General features: G+C 34.7%; 1 protein-coding gene across 5 annotated transcripts in view; it reads right to left on the bottom strand.

The window, feature by feature from the left end:
• The window catches only part of SCN2A (sodium voltage-gated channel alpha subunit 2), a 152891-nt gene that overhangs the window by 23437 nt on the left and 108665 nt on the right, over positions 1 to 20789 (bottom strand). For all 5 annotated transcript variants that reach the window (NM_001040143.2, NM_001371246.1, NM_001040142.2 and 2 more), the window contains 3 exons: positions 14197 to 14676; positions 3605 to 3725; positions 1497 to 1651 (listed from right to left, as the gene is read on the bottom strand). In NM_001040143.2, the coding sequence (NP_001035233.1) occupies positions 1497 to 1651; positions 3605 to 3725; positions 14197 to 14676 (756 nt within the window). The remainder of the gene's footprint in view (positions 1 to 1496; positions 1652 to 3604; positions 3726 to 14196; positions 14677 to 20789) is intronic.

The raw sequence follows: 20789 nt of genomic DNA, 5'->3' as shown, positions 1-20789 counted from the left end.
AGGATTCTTAGTCAAATCAGAATTCGCCTTAGAGGCCTCCAGATCCAATGCAGTAATTCTCCTAATGAAATCAACTCACCAAACACTCTAGTTATTAATTAAATTGAAACAGTAAAAGGAATGCAACCACATTTGTATCACCAATTAAGAAAATAGGTCATATCATTTTCATTATATTAATATTTTGATCCAGTTGATCATTTCATTGAATGAAATCAGACATAAGTTTGTAATGCCATCATTTTTTTGCTAGTCAGTAATTAAGTGAGTCTACTTCTTATCATTCACTGTGGTTGGCAATAGCGAATCAGTGTGAAGAAGACAGAGGAGTCCCCTGCAGCATGGAGTTTATGTTAAGCAATTTTGACAGGAACAAGAGGCAGAGAAATTCTGGGCAGAAGAGGACGGGTACCTGGCGAGGGCTCCACCCTCAAGCCTGGAACCGTGGCCCAAAGTGAGAATATACATCCCTGTTTTCTCACTTAAATGTTGCCTTTTCCAAAACCACCCATGGTGCACCCTGCCCCCATCCTGTGCCTATATAAAGCCCAGAACTCAGCAGGCAGACAGGAGGAACAGCTGGACATCAGAGACTACAGTTGGACATTAGAGAGAAGTAGCTTGACATCAGAGGGACAGCTTGACAGCATAGCTTCGGAGAGGAGTCTGGCTGGGGATGGCCAGACTCCAGGGGAAGATTACCTTCCTGCTCCATCTCCTTTCAGCTCCTCTTCCCTCTGAGAGCCACTTTCGCTGGCAATAAAATCCCCTGTATTTACCATCTTCAAGTCATTTGTACAAACTCATTCCTCCTGGACGCCGGACATGAACTTGGGTACCACAAGTGTGGGTGCAAAAGGCTGTCACTCTGACCCTCCACTGAACTGTTAACATTTAAGCCATCCATGGATGGCAAAGCTAAAAGGGCACTGTAACACTTCCTCTAGGGCTTCAAGGATCGCAGGCACCCTCCCCTAGACGCTCCTGTGGGGCCGGTATGGAGTTCACTCTTGCAGTGCCCAAATGCATTTGCCTTGGCTCCTGCACCCAGTCACCTGCGCTCCCCCTCCTGTGAGGGGTGGAGCAGTGAGTGAGTGGAGTTCGCTCCTACCGGCACCCATGCACTCTAGTTCTCACCTGCAAAGGGGTCAGGGAAATATCGTGCTTCAGTCTGATATTTAGCTGATAATCCTACATCATGTCTACATAACCAGTCTTAATAAGAACTGCCTCTGATGACTGAAAGTCAGAAAGATCCTTCTTTAAACATTATAAGAAACCATAATGATCTGAGTTTGGTTCCACCCGAGGGCTACTCCAGACAGAGTGACAAAAATTGCTATTTACTAAGCCTCTCATATGTGCTAAACACGTCACACATATTTCTTCTCATTCTTACAAACACCTTAATTTAAAAGTGGGTAATATGAGTTGATTGAAGGGAAAGGGAAAAGATTTCAGATGAAAGGTGAAGGAGTGGATCATGCATCACCTACCAGAGCCCCACTGCTCAGCAGAATCATGAAGACAATGAAGGTTTCGAACCAATTGTGCTCCACTATCTTATAGCATGTTTTCCTCAAATTCCACCAGAGTTTCCCTTTGCCTTCTTCTATGCTTATCTGACAACACTTGAACTTCCGTACACAGTCTAAAATATGTGGGAAAAAAATGAAGACAAAAAATTACTCTTTGATTAGGTATATTTGTGTTGGTGGGAGATTCATTTACATTATTACCTGATAATACATTGTAAATAACATTAATTTTTAAGATAGCTTCCGCTTACAAAAGCTATCTTAAAATCATCTATATGGCTTTTTAATCATTTGTTTAATAAATATTTATTTTTATGTTTATAGCACTACTATAATGGATTACATTACAAAAACACAATATATAAAAAATAGAAGAACCAAAAAGAAAATAAACTTACCAAAAGTTGGTATTTCCATCCTGTCCTTATCCTATGAGTGTAATTCCACTCTATATGGACACTTTACATATTTGAATTCTGATTAGTTCACTTAATGGTATAACTATTTCCCATCTTTATTATAAGTAAATAAATTTGTGAAAGATTTCATAATATTTCTCTAAATATGATTACTATAATTAATATAACTATTCCACCTTTTTTTTTTTTTTTTGAGAGGGAGTCTCACTCTATTGTCCGGGCTGGAGTGCAGTGGCCTGACCTCGGCTCATGCACTGCAGCCTCTGTCTCCCAGGTTCAAGCGATTCTCCTGCCTCAGCCTCCCAAGTAGCTGGTATTACAGGCACATACCACTACGCCCGGTAGAGATGGGGTCTTACCATGTTTGCCTGGCTGGTCTTGAACTCCTGACCTCAAGTGATCCGCCTGCCTCGGCCTCCCAAAGTGCTGGGATTACAGGTGTGAGCCACTGTGCCCAGCCCAATTCCACCATTATTGAATACTTCGTTTGCTTTAAATCTGGCCATTATCAATAACAATCCAATAAACACCTTTGTATAATTTCTGGATTGCTAGATCAAAGGCTCTTCAACAAATACTTATTGAGTATCTACTATTGTCAAAAAATTGCATAGAACAAATTGTAATACTATAACATGTAAAACATAGCCTTGTCCTCAAAGAATGTACATTTTAAGTTGGGGCAATTTGTCTACAATTCTATAGTTATGGAAAGCAACAATTATCACAAAACAAAGTATTATGAGAGTTTTCTGGTAAACTTTAATTTCTGAGCTTTATGGAGGAAATGGATTTGAGACTAGATCTTGAAGGATATATAAGAGACATATGTAGAAAATGAAGCTGTAAGAATAGAGAAACAATGATACAAGTAAAACTTAGTGACAAGAAAGTCTGTGAGTTACACAGAAGGAAATAGGAGTCAAAACTAGAAAAGCAGCTTAGAGCCCAGGGTTTTTGGTGGTTTGATACACAGCATTGCTATTACAATATATAACTGATCCATACCTCAAATTACATAATTTTAGCTTTCTTCAGAAAATCCTTTTGCGATTACTCCAGTGACATATTGCCCCATATCATATGACTCATAGTATATTTTGGCATTTTTATGATCTATCTTTTTTCAGAAATAATAAAAAATATTTGACCTTGACTGAAATAGGAGCTGTTTCAGTCAAGGACAAATTTAAATGTACACTTATCAATTATTACCCATTATAATATCACAAAATAGTACATAATAAATTACTTCTCTCACTTTCTTATTTATTGAATTTTTAAACTAAAGAGAGATGTGTGTGATTTGGCTTTCTCTCCTGTAAGATATTTTAGAAGGCCACAGAAAAGCCAGTTAATAATTTCTTAGAGTTAAAAATGATTCATAAAAATGAAAATATCTAATTACATAAATTAAACTTTGCCTTTTAAAAAGTTGCATTTTTTTTCAAACAGCAAATGCAAAAAAAAACAAATAAATGTACAGTTGTTGGATAGGTATAGATGATTACTAGATAGATAGATAGATAGATAGATACAGATAGATAGATAATAGATGGTAGACAAATAAACAGACATTTAAATAAATAGGAAAAAATGGGTAGAAAAGAGGATACTCAAGACCACATATGTTATTGTTTTGCTTACCTTCTGTAAAACAGGCTTCAGGTTCAAGGGATTCCTCAGGTTCAACCTCAGGCTGTTCTCCCTCGGCGGGAGCTCCAATATCAACCGTGCTGCCTTCAGATGAACTAGTTGCATTTAGCTTCTGAAAATCAATCCCACAAAAAAACACATTTAATTATTTTCTTTAATCTAAATATAAAAATTAATTAGGTGTGCCCCCCCCCCATCTTCTGTATGCATTTTCTTGATCTGTAATTTAAGAACTTAAACATAATGCCAATCCGCTTTGGTAAAGGTCAGGGGTCACAAGATTAGATACAACACCATAGTATTTTTTTTCTTTAAAATATGGTGCTAACAACGGAAATAACTTCTGTTTGAGCCTATGTATAGAGATTCTGAAAGAAAATCCTGCAGAAAGCTTATGTAAGCTGCCAGAGTCATATAATCATCTGCGATCTTGCTTTTGTACATTAGTTTGCAAATGGTTTTCAAATAGTTTGTTTTATTCTAAAATTGTGACCCAACCAATGAAAGCTGCACAAGTGTATTTTCATGTCAAATTCAGAAAAGATTTGATCAAATGCACATAAACAGCAACCATCTAAATTTATCCACTTTTCATTGACATGAAAACATATACCAGATTGTTATTAAATATATTCTATAATTTTCTAATTCCAAAAAGAGCAGCACATTGTTAGCTATATAGCAAGAGCTGATATTTTGCATTCTCTTTGGCCAATGCACTCCTGTGTTTCATTGTGCATTTGGAAACTACTTGTTACTCTGGCACTCTTACCTGCCCTGTTAGTACAGGCAGAAATGAATATTTAGTTGTTCTTTTGTTTTCCTTTAGGTTAAATCAAATATCACCAAAAGAAAAATATAATAGAAGTTGTTTTATATCTTGAAATGCAATAAACTTTAGCCAGGTCGGTCCATTCTTGGGATCAGCATACATGAAGGGATCCCAGTCTTTAACCTGGTCTTAAAATGCTCTAGAAATGATGCAGGGCCAGGTGTGAGTGCCACACAGGAATCAGAGTAGTTTGGGCCACAGCATTCTCGGACCTGTTACAATGTTATTACCATTAGTGCATAACATTAGGAAATGGTTGAGCTGATAAGAGATACTTTATAAAAAGGATGAGGTAAGCACATGATAAAATGCACACTGAAGTATGTTAAACTAGAATAAGATGGATGCTGTAGTCAGTACTGTAAATGTTATATTTATATTTGGGCATAGGATTATGTGGATTTTCTCTAGAAAGATGGTTTCTTTATTTTATGAAAATAATTTTCTTTATATAAAATATTTCCTTAGCATAGTGATGCTGATGACTTAAAAAATATTGATGTATGATATACATGAGATTAAAAATGCTTTTGTCTCTTGTACTTTAAAAATACTAATGATGGAAGCATAAATATTAGATACTTCTGCCTGCTTTGAGTTAGAGAATTATTTTTTAATTTGTCCAAAAAAGTTAAATCAAAGATTATATATTATAAGGTGCTTGAAGGTTGATGATTTCTTATTTTAATTTATCAGGTATATCAAATTACTAGAAAAATAATCCTAATATCTTTGTCATTAAAATTTGAATATATTTGTTCTCAGAAGAAACATTACATGTTTTTCTAATTTCCTATCCTTTGAATTGGAATCTTTCTGAGATAAGTATAACTATGTTTCTATACACGTAATTGACTAAAAAATGACTTAAAAATCTTCTCATTTTAATATATCTAATTCACACGAACCTGTTATGCTATTAGGGACCTGATAATACTGATCTTATCACTTGCAACATGTTGGAAAATAACACAGGTAATCAGAAAAACTGAAGCTGAGTCACATCTGATGGAAGTACAGACAATCCACAATAAGAAACAAAAAATATTCCTTATAAGAATAAGGTTCACACTGTAAACACAGAACGGGGTAAGACTTCGGGTGACCCCAAGGGAAAAATGAGGATCCATATTCAGGGTTCTGCAAATGCTCAGGCTGACATTACTGAATGACTGTATCAGAGCTTACATCAGTGCTAAGTATGTTACAGGTCTTAATAAATTTTGCTTAAAAAAAAGAATGAGTGAGTGAATAAATGAATGAAAGACATCTTAAAATAATGAAGTCTAGCCCTTGACAGTGATTGGGAGAAGTCACCAGACAGCATATTATAGAAAATCTTCATTAAAATGTGCAAAAGTTTACATAGGATTCCTGTAACATCAATTATCACTCCTGCTGCCAAGTATCTGGGTTGCCAATACTTTAAATGACTTTGGGAAGACTTTCACCACCACACCATTTCTTTCTTCACTGTCTATTTTGCAACAATCATGATTCCTTGCTTTCATAAAGTCTCCCCAATAAATCTGGACTCCTAATTTCTTCCATCCATCTTCACTCACCATATGCACCCTAGGCTATTCACCAACCTTTTCATGGCTTATCACACATCTTGAACCTTGATAATGTATGGGTCAAATTATTTCAGTTGGATGGATTTTGGGTACTTTAACATGCTTGTAAGACATTTGGGGGCAGAAGCCACGTACTCTAGGCCCTATGGATAATACACCAATATGGATAATATGAATAATACACATGTACTCTAGGCCATATGGATAATACACCAATATAGTTCAATACAAGGAACAGGCTTTGAATTGCCAAAATGCTGTTCATTAAGTATTGAATGAATGAATGAATTGCTAGATACACTGTCTGTTTTCAATAGCCTGTTCAAATTAGCAATTTGCCAAATAGTTTGATCCAAGGTTAAAATCAGAGAATATCAAACAGAGTTTGCTGTACTTGGCTGAAAATGAGAAGCATGTTGAGGTGTTTTTTTTAATTGCTTTTTTATTCATTTTCTCTGGAATTTCAAATTATAAAAGACATTCCTGTATTTTCTCTTATTTAAATCACATTAAAAGTAGAAGAATTAACATTGCTCCCTTTCATTTTAGTGCACTACCTTAGTTCTGATGTAGAATTAAGATACCTTTTTCCTAAAGCCAAATATTTATCTATTGAAAGGTCAAGTTTTTACTTTTTCCAAGGTTCAGTTCAAAAGTATTTTGTGTTTCTAGAAAATGCATCTCATCAGACTTAATTTTTTGGAGGAAAGATCATGTTTTCGTCACCCTTGTATCTCTAGCACCAATGTTTGTGTTTAATAAATTTTGGGTAAATGAATGAATGACCAGTGCGAGGACTCTTTTATCCAACCACTAACTACTAACACTTCCTATCTGATATTTACTTTCACATTCAAAAGAATACACACAATATTTTCTCTTAATTGCAGAGTAACACAAATCTTTTAAGATTCTGAATTGTGTGGGCAATGACGAACAACTCTTAGAACTAGGAGTATTGTCTTAAAACCAGTCTGCCAATTATTCGGACCTAATGTGAGTGTATGAGGTGAACTGTAGTTTAACTGTGGAGTCAGGAAAACTATTACTAAATCATTTTGACAGTGTTTTCCCTCTTTTCACTCTGTATACAAGGATCTATAGCTCCAGTGATGAATGGGGCCTCTTTAAGGAATGCAATCTTATCCTTCCCCACTGTCTTCTGAAGCGGAGCAGCACAGGATCTGTCACATGTGTTACTTGAATACTTTTCCACTTGTGGTACTTGATTTACAAATAACAAAGAATCTAGGCAGCACATTGATCCTTAATGTCAGCCAATCCAGTATTTATTTAGAGAAGGAAATGTGAGTTTTATCGTCTTGTGAAAAGTTATAGCGAATCAGTGGTTGGATTCCAGATCTTCTGCACCCCATTCTGCCAAGCTTCTCTAAAGAATCTTTTTGATGATTCAAAAGTAAACCCAATGTTTATCAATTTAAAACATTTAGTAGACTAGATATGTAATCAAATATTGTAGGTTCAAGATAGTGCTTATGATATTGTTGATTTCCATGTTTCAAAACCATGAACTTTAGTATTAATTCAAGTTATATTCATAGTTGTTAACATATTTTAATGTAGAGTAAAGCTAAATACACATTGGAATATTACATGAACAAAAAGTTTTCTTTAAGCAATGATCTTGAAACATAGGCAGGAAATTCTGATTTATAAAACCCTTCTTGATAACATCAATTAAATGACTTTCTTAAAATTACATTCTAGGCAAATGTCATAATATTATAAAATATGTTGACTAAAGCAGTTAAAATGTGTAAAAGCCCATAAAATAAAATTAATCAAATTAGGAATATAAAAATATTCAGCTTCATTTAAGGTCATAATTACGATCAACCTAACTGTAGTACATAGTCACCAATTAGAACAGTGAGATGATCACTATGTGAAACTGTTACAACTCATGCACTTAAGAATTTTCAGATAAAGAGTGCCTGTAAATGCTCCAATCTAGGCATAATTTATGGTGAAATACTACATTAGTAAGTGACCAAAATATGAACTGGCTAGAAGCAGATCCAGTTTAAAAAGTTCTATATATGTCCCTTTGGTATAATTTGGATATTTAGGTTCACTTTTTAATTACCTGTACTTATTTATCAGGAAACTAGCGGACTAACTGATGTTTGTAGCATAGCCCTTGCCTAGTTAAAATTTAACAAAATAAGGATGCCAGGACAATAACGAGATCAAATAGGAATAGCCAATTTTATATGCTCTGAAAAAAAGCATTGGCAATCATTTACTTTCAGGTGGAAATATTACTTGAACAATGTTTTTGGTGGATACCTAATATTATAGGACTCTTCCTATTGAAAATCTACTGTGATTCTTTTATATGCTGGATAATTATAATCAAATGATTTAAGCAGGGCAGAATCATATTTTGCTTAATGATCTAATAAACATCAAGGTACAATACTTCATTTTGTATTTTTAGATATTATACTTCCAACTTATGCTTTCTGCTTTAATAATACTACTAAATATGAATGTGCCAGATGAATAGTTTTTCTTTAGACAGCAAATGTGAGCAAATGAAAGTAAATTATTTTCAAAAATAATGAATCACAACAGAAAATGGAAGAGAAAACATAACTTCCTATTAAATTTTTCATGGGCACACTCACTTCTCATTATGAAGCTAAGATACATTTCGAAGAAAACATAATTAGTAGATATTGTATATAATTTGGGAAAAGAGAGAGAGATTTTAATTTAATTTAATTAAAAAATTGGCACTTAAAAAAGAGAAAACTTCAAATACAGATTAAATCAAGTATCCCATATCTGACAATTTTGGTTTCTGAGAACTAAAAAAGAATATGGTAAAATCAAAATAATTACTCACAGTATACTATATTATCCAGAAAGTCATTTTAGTGTTTATAATGAATACATTATAACATTTTTAAAACCACAAATAATAGGATTTTAAATATTTTTCTTCGGATGGCAAAAGGAACTCTTATGTCATGATGTCCTACTGCTCAGTAGATTACCAGTGACCCAAAGACACGTGTTTGGCCCATTTTGTTCTTATATTAAAGATATTTTGGGCATTTTTTTCCATCTTAATCACTATCCCACTGGAAAACTTTCCCATGAGGACTACACATTCTCCAGGATAAAGTCATAGACAGGTGTCTGTTGAACCCATTCCACCATTGCTTACGCAAACCTTCCCTGCACATTTTTGTCCCCTTTCCAAACCCCTGTATTAGAAATTAGTATATTTTTTTAGGAAGTGGACAATGTTTCCTGAGGGAGAATCATAGACTTTTACAAGGAAATCAAAAATTGCCATAATGTGAGGATTGAAAATAAACGAACCAGTTCCTTCTTAGCTTCTATTCTACCACCTTTACTCCAGCTGAATCCCCTAGATACGTTGATGGATAATATGCCTCAAGTATCTTTCTAAACAGGAAATTGGCAAAATGGGATACTCAGAGAATAAGGAAACTACCCTTGCCTCTTTCCGAGAAACAAGCTATTATCCGAAAGTGCCTAAATCTCATGCTTTTCTGAAGAATTAATACATAATAGGAAAAAGTAATTATCTGTAGTCCCTGTGTATATGCGCATCTGTGTTTAACTGTAAACAATTACGCATCTTGGATCCCATTTTACATCCCATTCCTCCAATATATGAGGCATTATAGCTCATGAATCTGGAGAGCCAGTGATGGAATATTTTGTTCCAAAGTATAAAAGAATGCTCCAGGAATGGCATGATTATTGCTTCTTCCAAATAGCCAACTACACTTTTATATTAGTGCTGTTTTATAGTTTTATTGGCAAAAGGAGAGGAAACTGTATCTAAGTGACAAAATAATTAACATTTCTTAAAAATGATTAAATTGGGTTTAGGCATTTTGGTTAAATATTTGTGCATAAAACTGTGATTTCAACATTAAGAAATGAAGGTCGACTAATGGATCCCATAGAATGATGTTACGTTTATTGCTATTGTCACATGATAGGGAAGTCTCTTCATTTTAAAAACACCCTAGGAGCAAGAGTTTCTGATTCTTTTCCTATACAGGAGTTTGTGGATCATGATAAATTTAAATAATATTCTTCGGGAGAAAGTTTTCCAGCAGGTCTCAATAAAATAGAGGGGAGAGAAAGCACAGAGGAGCCAAGAAAATGAAGAAGATGGACTCTAAATCTATTTTTAGAAGGAGCATACCATCTATAAGTCTCTCATTATCACTATTATTATTATTATTTGGTATACAAAAGACATGATTTCCTTTTCTTTCAGTCTAAGAGTTTTAAGGGTAAATATAAACAGACTTTCCAAAGAAATTATATTCTAAATACAAAATACTGTTGGTCAACTCCTAAATAAAGCAGTGCCATTTTCCCTAAAATGAAGCAGATAAATATTATACCCATGCTGCTAGCAACTGAAACACAGACATTCCTATTCATTTACATTATTATCACATTAAAACATCCTTTGGGAAGTTTGCATATGAATAAGGGATTGCTTTAATTTGAAGATTACCCTTCAGAAAAACATTACACTAAATAAAAAACTGTCAAGACTTAAGTACAGTAACTGGGCTATCTTTTTTTTAAAGACAGAGGATAAAAAGCATTTTTGCAAGTTTTCAAAGAGCACCTACATTTCTCCTTTGGGCTCCTAATATGTTCAAAACTCTGTAACATTAAAAGGAAATTAAATAATCCATAAAGGCATGCACTTTTACTTTTCATTGAATAAAATTTCTATTAAAATCTATGTAAGAAAATTAGCAGCTAAATCACTTTTTTTTAAGTTAGGGTTGTCAGACTTGCCTGACCATGCTTTGTATGACTCAGCATAATAGCAGCTGTGCATGTTTTTATTTTACTGCCAATGGAAGGGCAAGGAACGTAGCTGAGTAACATGCAGGCCAGTCAAAAGTCATTTAGAAACTGATTATATTTATAGATGTACAACTTGCTTGGGTAACCTGGGTAAAAGTGGTGGCACGAGCCTCTGGCTGGTTAAAAAACACCAGAGCTGCATTCTTGATGGCTCCAGCTTGATTTTACTCCTGTGAGAAGTAAGAATGGTAAGCGGTGAAGGTCACCATATCGCACTACTAAATTTCACTTCGAAAAATAGTCATTCAAGCATGGCTTCCACATTATTAAATACTCTAAAAGAAAAAACAATCATTCAAAATCACAAAAGGAATTACATTAATATAATCGAAATAACATTAAAATTAAAGCATAGGGGATTATGACATGATTTTAAATGGCCTACTCTAGAGAATCTACAGAAAACTACTGAAGAATCATACAAATTTAGCAAAGACATTGCAGAGGACTTACTGTGAACACCTAAAAAACCTCTGAGTCCACTCAGTCTGCCTTATAAAAAAATTCATTTAGACATTCCAGTAAAAAAGCCTCATTTTTTCTTTAATTAAAAAATTAATTTAGAAAGGATTGGTAATAAGCCTCATGATGTTTCTTACTACTTTGTGATATTTAACAATGTAATCCTGTCCCCCAGTTAGAAAAATGACCAGACAAAAATGACTAGAAGGCAGGCAAGAAATGCTATTTCAAATGCGAGTGTCTGAAATTCTTCAATAATTGTTTTAATTCTCTAGTTTTTTAGTGTAGAGCTACCAGGTAAAATTCTGAAAGATCAAAACCTACACATAACCTCTTTCACGGCGATAACCCTCATCATTTATTATTTTATAAATTTATGTCTAGAAAGTTTGATATAAAGCCAGAATTAAAAACCCCTCCAAATAATGTTAACACTGAAGTAACAGTCTCTATGCTGGGAAGGTATTGGAAGGACTCCACAACTCAAGCAATAAAATAATCCTGTCTGCTTCCACCTGGCAGGTCAGTTCTCTTCCTCCAATTCTGAAATACTGAATTCACAAATATTATTTTAGAGTATTTAACTCAGAGCTAACTTAATGGGAAAACAAATCAAAAAGCTTAATGATAACAAGAGAAACAAGAGATGTCCCTACTCTAAACCCCACATCACTGGACTTCCCTCTTACTTCAGACATAATGGCTTAAGTTAAGGCAAAATACACGCTCTTTTGGAAAACCCACGGCTGTAAAATCTCTTAAAGTTAAGAAGACTGGATGTCAAGTTAAACATTCCTCAAAAGATACTGAAACTTAGCTAAAAGATTAAACTAGCCAATGGCTTCAACGTTTGATACTGTATAATTCATTCTTAGTTTATATGACAGCCTAAAACTAAACATGTGTGAAAATAAAAATTGACTTTTTTTACTATTAGGGAAATATTCACCATTAGGCATAATTTCAAAATAATGAGAGGGGAATATACATCAAAATTCAAATGACCGAATTCTATTTTATAAATGCCGACTTCAGCTTCTATAAGAGCAGTACACTGTATATGAAATTGGGCCACTCCACCCTTCCAGCATAACCCAACTATTGTAACAACACTTGTTCAAAATTTTGTTAATAAGATTTTAAGATATTATTCAACTTTCAAACAATAATCTAGTTAGTAAAAATTTAAGTTCAACCAATTAAAGTAATTCTTTGCCCCAGGACAGAAGGTTTTATTACTTTTCCCTTGAATCTCATCAGTTATTTCTTGTGAAACTGATACCTATGTCCCTGTTATTTATACCTTCCTATATTCAAAGATTGTCTGAATTTCCCATTAAACATCTACTTCTACCTAATCACTAACAGCAATACTACGTAACTTACAAACAAGAAAAAATGGAAAATAACATACTCTTTAGTAATTTTATCAAATAAATACAGAAAAAGTGTCTGAAATAGCTAGTTCTTTTTTTTTTTTTTTGAGACAGAGTTTCATCCTGTTGCCCAGGCTGGAGTGCAATGGGGTGATCTCGGCTCACTGCAATCTCTGCCTCCTGGGTTCAAGCGATTCTCTTGCCTCAGCCTCCCGAGTAGCTGGGATTACAGGCACGCACCACCACGCCTGGCTAATTTTTTTGAATCTCTAGTAGAGACAGGGTTTCACCATGTTGGCCACGCTGGTCTCGAACTCCTGACCTCGTGATCCACCCATCTTTGTTCTTTTTTTATAACTATATTTTCCCTCATAATTTTGGCTGATTGTTAATTATCATGATCATGTTGTGCTACTTAAATTTTACCTTTCAGTGCCCACACTCCCCCATGTCGTCATTCTTTCTTTCCCGACATCAGGAATAGAAGCTTTTATCTTCCTCGCCAAACAGTTCGTATGAGGAAGGAACGAATCTTTGTTTTTCCTTGTTATTTTTGTTAGTTAGTGCAAACTTTAATTACTGGAAATCTTGTCTTCATTTTTGTATAAACAATTAAATATCAAGGTTTTAAATTCCTCTCTTTACCTCCAACTCTGTACTTATTGAGCAACAGGTTAATAGCAAACAAAACAAAAAATATATTCTGTTGCTCATACCCTTCTTGTAAATCAAAGAATACATTAAGTTACCAGGACTTACTGAGTTGGTAAATTCAGAATTTTACATTCTATAATGTATTAAGGATTTTTGTTTCTTTAAACAGTGAACACTGAGCTCAGTAGGGTTAAATATGTTTTTAGTGTGATTCCTCATCAATACCTTCTCTTCAAAAAAACTGACTGACTTCAGGAAAGATAAACTATACATAAATATCAAGCCAAGATCCCAATCAGATCTTCCTTGAGTAAATATGTCTGTGCAAACAAAATACAATACTATTTTATGACGTATTTCGTAAGAATTAAGAACTAAGAACATAGCAAGATGAGAATTGCAACTACCCTCTCATCAGATATTTTTCCAGTACGTACAAAAAACACTGTTGTGGGCAAATTACAAGGAAGAAAGTGGAGAAATTGAGGCATTTTGAGAAATTTAAAATTATTTATAAATACTGAAAAAATTCATATCAAGAATACTGTCAAGAATTCAAAATGTCAGTATTGGAAACATAAGTCAGCATATTGTTAATCTAGCTATATTTTAATCTATCATTAATTTATTTATTACCAACTTTTCCATGGAAAATATATTGCTAGACAGATATTTTCTATTTTCTTAACAGGAAGGAAACACGCAATTTAAAAACACCTGATAATTTTAAACAACAGAATTATATAACACCAAAATATCTCCTTATTTAAACATTTTTACCTCTTTGCTTTCCTCCATATCTGACTCGCTGCTGAATTCTTCAGTATTTAAATTTTCAAAGTCAGATTCTCCAACAGCAATTGGTACTGTCACAGTGAGGCTAGGGTTGTTTATAAATGACATGTAATCACTTTCATCCACGACATATTTTTCTACACTGCTGCCTATGCCACTAGTAGTTCCATTTCCGTCTTTGAGATAATTGAGGTCTTTGCCTATTTCTATGGTGGTATGGTTGGAAATACAGCTGTCTTTTTTATTATTTAGATCTTCAAGCGGTTTAATTTCATCTAAAGCTTTCTGCTTCCTAACAAAGGCTTTCTGAATAAATTCACGTATTTTTCTTTTAACAAAATCGATTCCTTTCTGCATCCTTCCCACAGCAATCTGGAGATTATTCATTTCGTTATCATCATCAGTGGCAGCAAGATTGTCAGAACTGAAGGAACTCAAAAGCAAGGCCAAGAAGAGGTTCAGAACCTGAAACACAGCAGGAAAAACAGGTGATCAAAACATTCTATTGCTTCAATTGCTTTCCATCATTAGTTTTCTAAGATTGTTCTTGACACCTTATTTTATTCTAACATGCATTTCTGCTAATTCATGATACACTATTCTGAAAAAAAGTGAATGAAATAAAAATGCTTGGTCAATATAAAATAATACTATTATCACTATTTGCTTTTTAGTCATTGCAGAAAATACTGAAATCATTGCTAAATGAAACATTTCTATTAAGCTCAGTTCCAAAAGATAAATATAGACAACTGTACAAAAAAAACCCTTTTATTTGGGATGCTGATATATTTTGGACATTTGCCCCCTCCCAAGTCTCATGTGGAATTGTAATCCCCAGCACTAGACGTGGGGCCTGGTGGTAGGTGTTTGGATGATGGGGTCAGATCCCTCATGCCTTGGTGCTGTCCTCATGTTAGTGAGTTCTCATGAGATGTTGTTATTTAAAAGTTTGTAGTGCCTCCTGCCCACATTCTCTCTTGCTTGTTCCTGCTTTCATCATGTGAAATGCTTGCTCCACTTTGCCTTCTGCCATGATTGAAAGCTCTTTGAGACTTCACCAGAAGCCAAGCAGATGCCAGCACCAAGCTCACTGCAGAACCATGAGCTAATTAAATCTCTTTTCTTTATAAATTACCCAGTCTCAGGTATTTATCTGTAACAATGCAAGAATGGCCTAATACAGATGCTATTTTGACTATGTAATTTGGATTTCCGGAAACACTGATAATTTATTCCTAAAATCAACAATTATCCCAATATATTTAAATATGATTTTATTTTTGTGCCTTTGTACCATTTTTTGTACCTAGATAACTGGACAAATCAGACAAAAACGTATTTATTGCTGGATGAAAAGTCCCAATTTTTATTAAGACAATTATGGCTACTATAATTATACAATAGTGAGAAATACTATAAAATGGTTATTATACAATAATTATGATGTTATTGTTGAATTAAAGATTGTGGAGTTGAAGTATTGCCATGAATAAGGACAGTAATCAGTCTGCAAATTGGGTCTTTAAAAATAGGCTCCACCAGTATGAATGAGTGAAAAGATTCATGACATTAAACTCACTATTGTGGAAAAAAAAAAAAAGACAACTTACGAAGAAATCAGACATTCTCAGGGGTACAAGACTGAGTCATATAATTTTTTTTCAGGATTTGATTGACAATATCAATGAATTCCTGATTATTTAAGCACACATAACATACAGAACAAAAGAAAGATATAGCAGTAAAGGGGGGCAAATGCACAAAGTAAATACAAGTTGCATATCCCTTATTTGAAATGCTTGGGGCCAGAAGTGTTTTGGATTTTAGATTTTAAAATATTTGCATGTACATAATGACAAGTCTTGAGAATGAGACACATGTGTAAACATAAAATTCATTTAAGTTTCATACACATACACATAGCCTGAAGGTAATATTATACAATATTTTTAATAATTTAGTTCAGGAAACAACATTTTGACTGTGGTTTAACTGCGATTCATTACAGGAGGCCAGATGTGAATTTTCCTCTTGTAGTATCAGGTTGGTGCTCAAAAGCTTTGAACTTCCGAGCATTTTGGATTTCAAATTTTCAGATTAGGGATGCTCAAACTGTAGTACAAAAGTAGAATCTTAGGAAAATTTTTAAGTAAAACTTCAATAAAAAGGATTCTACATTCTTGCTATATTCTCATGCTTCTATCATGCTAATGAGGCTTACAGCACCTTTGTCTAATTAGTTGTAAGTTAGTCTAACCAATGGTGATTTTTTTTAAAGTAAAAATATGTAAGATCCAATGAAGACCACGTTTGATTTTGAGAGTGTACTGACAATCTGTCAGTCTCTATACTATGACTCCTGATAATCACATTAAGACCAGACCTGCTCCTTTGCCTCTGGAATTTACCAATAAAATTATGTTTTATTGTAATTTGCTTTTGAACTTATTATTTGGATTAAAAAAACAGACAAAGGAAGAAAAAATTGCATGTAAAATTTTTATTTTATCTATTTTGGTGCTATTTCCTAGACTTATTTTCCTAAAGTATATTAAAGTTCTGTCATTTGTCTATTTGGAAATTTTTCTTGATACACATCCATCAATCCTTCCCCAGGGCGGGAGCCAATTATATTGCCTCTGTACTGGACAAATACTCTATTTACAAATGTCATTTACTGTGACATTTATATAGCCTGCTCCCATTTCTCATTCTGTCCTGTTAAATTTCTCATCCACATCCCTATCACATTATATTGGATTCTTTAAAAAAAAAAAAAAAACAAGCACAGCTTTACTGATAGATTGGGAGATCTTTTGGTCAGAAACATGCCTTAGAGCCAAGTCCTAGAGCAGTATCAATACCAGATCATAATAACAATAAAAGTAAAACCAGCTTTTTAGTTGAGCTCTTAGTAAATACCAGTTATTGTGCAAAGCATTTTCAAGGTTTATGTGATTTATTTCTCACAACTCTATAAGGCAGGAATTATTACTATTTTACAGATGAAAATGCTTCTGCACAACTTACATGACTTGTCCAAGACCACAGTTAATAAGTAGAGAAGCTTTTTTTTTTTTGAAAGTCTAACTACAAGGTCTTTTCTCCTAATTGTGATGTTTGCAGAATAAGTGAGGAAACAGTATTCCATGTTTACTCTTACCGATACTTCCTTTCTTTGAACTGCTACCATATTTAGTCAGTATAATAGGGTTTACTATTAATTTTCGAATTGTTTCTCTGATCTTTTATGAATTGATAACTCAATTCAATGCTATTCCACTGTCAGGAAAATAAATAAATATCCCTGGAACATATGACTTTTCTTTCTCATAAATCCATTGAAGTTTTTATTTTTTTTAAAGCAGCCAATCTACCCGTGGTGACACAGTTTTGAAACCGCGTTTATTAATACCCACTAGACACTAACTTTCATCAGCATGTTTATCTTAGTTCTATAGATTACTTGACATAGAGGAGCACATATTTTAGAATTCGAGTGCTAGGTAAGAATCGATTTTCTGTTACCTACTAAGTAGCATAACCAATCTGAGCCTCAGTTTCCTCATCTATAAAATAAATGTAATCGTTTTTCTAGTGCCCAGCTTACAAGGTTGTTGAAAGGATTCAGTGACAGAATTCATGTGGCTTTCAGCACAGTTCTTGGCACATAGTGAACCTTTGAGAAAGTTTAGCTGTTATCACTTACTATTATCCAACTTATCCTCCACAACACTATCTTTTTATTTACCTTATTTCCCTAGAAATATTTGTGTGAGTCAAGTTATTCTCTTTTTCTGGACTTCCTTTGTTACCGAAGGGTATGCGCATAACAGCTGGCACAGGTGTTTGGTGTGATCCATGACAATTTAAGAAAACAGTTCAGGCCGGGCGCGGTGGCTCACGCCTGTAATCCCAGCACTTTGGGAGGCCTCGGGCGGATCACGAGGTCAGGAGATCGAGACCATCCCGGCTAAAACGGTGAAACCCCGTCTCTACTAAAAATACAAAAAATTGGCCGGGTGTAGTGGCGGGCGCCTGTAGTCTCAGCTACTTGGGAGGCTGAGGCAGGAGAATGGCGTGAACCCGGGAGGCGGAGCTTGCAGTGAGCCGAGATCCCGCCACTGCACTCCAGCCTGGGCGACAGAGCGAGACTCCGTCTCAAAAAAAAAAAAAAAAAAAAAAAAAAGAAAGAAAACAGTTCAGCAAGCTCACTCAGGGACTGAAATCCTGAATCCTGTTTCACAAATGTGCTAGCTCAGTAAATGAAATCAACTCTTTCTTGTGTCTCAAATTAGCCTCTTGGAATGGAAATGTTACCATAATTTCCATTTTGAATTCAAGGTTGAAACATATTACATATTTTAATTGTTTCTCCATCCTGATTCCCAACTTGTGAGAGGAAGCCAAAACCTTCACATCCCTCCTGTGTGCTATTGCCTCACCTTCACTTAGGGAGAGAGGAAGTTGTCTTCTCTGCTTCTAGAACTATCAGTTTTCAGAAAGTCACATTCTTTTTCTGCAGCACCTATCTTCAACCAATGAAGGGTCTCTTGCCATCGTGTCTGGAAACTAAGAATGGCTCATAAAAATCCTGGTCTGGGAAACAGTAGTTTGTGGTCCCAGCTCTGTCTTGTCTGTAGACTAGGCTGGCAGTCCCATCCATTGTGACTACTACATCTATTTGGGTGGAGCCACATCTGATAGTTCATGTGTGTTAAAAGGAAGTTATGCCATTTTGTCTTTGGGACACCTTTCCCATTTTTCCAGTGAGAATAGGAAGGAAGAATTGTAGTAAGGAGTGAGTATATCAAGTTCATTCAGTCTTAAGCAAATGTTATATAAGCACATTTCCTTAATAGTGGTAAACATGATATATATGACTACCTTAGCTACTCCAGAAACATACCCAGGTTATCACAAGACAAAGAAGTTATTTTAACTGATAGTCAAAAAGAAAGGAGAACCTTTAATTTTTCTCTCTTAAAAGAACAAAAATTAAATTTACACCCAGTAGATGGAAATGATTATTTTATAAACTATATCTTTTTATGCATACATCACAATCTAAATTAATACTGATGTCAACCATAAGTACTTGATATTTCCTGAAATTCTCTTTTCAACTTCAATTTTCTGCACATTTATACATTAGAGAGATATGTTAATTTCAGTAAACTAATAGATAACATGTGGTGGGCTGAGTTTCATCCTCTTTAAATCTATTCTGCATTCTCCTGCTACGTATATTTCTGAAAAATATCACTGGTTCACTGTCACTTTCCTGATAAAAAATCATCTGTAGCTTTGAATTGCCTAAAGGAAAATACATTTTATTATGCACAGTCAGCCTTTTCATAAATTAAATTCTACCCAATCTGGTCCCAAACTTATATTTCTTAATTCCCCATTGCTGTCTGATCATTCATGTTGTCATAAAGGATTCTGTTCTCTGCGTTTTCTTTTCTTCTTCCAACATATACCAAATATACATACAGAGAAAATGAAATCAAATCTATAACATAATTATATTATCTTTTCTTTGTTTCTGTTCTATGTAACCCTATGGCACTTTCTGTTCTATGTGATCTTATACTTTTCTGAAAGCAAACATTTTAAAGTTGTCTTGGGGATTATAGTAGCTTGAGCTCTTCTTAGTGACTAGCTTCTAATGAATACAATATGGCAGAAGTGGTGAAGAGTGACTTTCAAGAGTAGAACATAAAGAGGATTTTCTCCTTGCCTTCTCTCTTACATCACCTTCCCTGGAAGAAGCCAGCTGCCATATCATAAGGACACTCAACAGTCCTATGGAAAAGGTCCTGCAGAGAAAAACTGAGACCTTCAACTAACTGCCAAAAAGGAACTGAAACCTCCTTCCAATAATCATGAGATTGAGCCTTCTTAGAAGCTGATCCTCCAGCCCCAGTCAAGATAACTGTAACCTCAGCTAACATCTCGACAGCAACTTCATGACTGATCCTAAACCAGAACCACCCAGCTAACTTATTCCCCAAATCCTGACCCACAGAAACTATGAAGTAATCAGTGTTTATTGTTTTAAGCCACTGTTTATAATTCTAGATTGTACACTGTTTATGTTTCTTGTTACTTTAAAAATAGATCAGAATTATCAAAAGTAATGTTGAAGAGGCTGAAATTTGGCAATGAATAAAAATAAAATAATACTTTGCCTTTTTCCCTTCCCCTTTCTCTATCTTTGGGGACTTGGAGGTTACCTTTATATGAGAGGAAATCATGTCTAAAGAGTATATGCTTTTTTTTTTTTTTTTTTGCAACAGAGTCTCGCTCTTTCACCCAGGCTGGAATGCAATGGCACAATCTCGGGTCACTGCCACCTCTGCCTCCCAGGCTCAAGCAATTCTCGTGCCTCAGCTTCCCAAGTAGCTGGGATTACAGGTGTGCATCATCACGCCTGGCTAATTTTTGTATTTCTAGTAGAGATGGGGTTTTGCCATGTTGACTAGGCTGGTCGCGAACTACTGTCCTCAAGTGAAACGCCCACTTCAGTCTCCCAAAATGCTGCGATTACAGGCGTGAGCCACTGAGCCTGG

Source organism: Homo sapiens, chromosome 2, assembly GCF_000001405.40.
Source record: "Homo sapiens chromosome 2, GRCh38.p14 Primary Assembly".
Lineage (NCBI taxonomy): Eukaryota > Metazoa > Chordata > Mammalia > Primates > Hominidae > Homo > Homo sapiens.
Note: the sequence above shows the minus strand (reverse complement) of the source record. Positions and strands in the feature narration are given on the sequence as shown.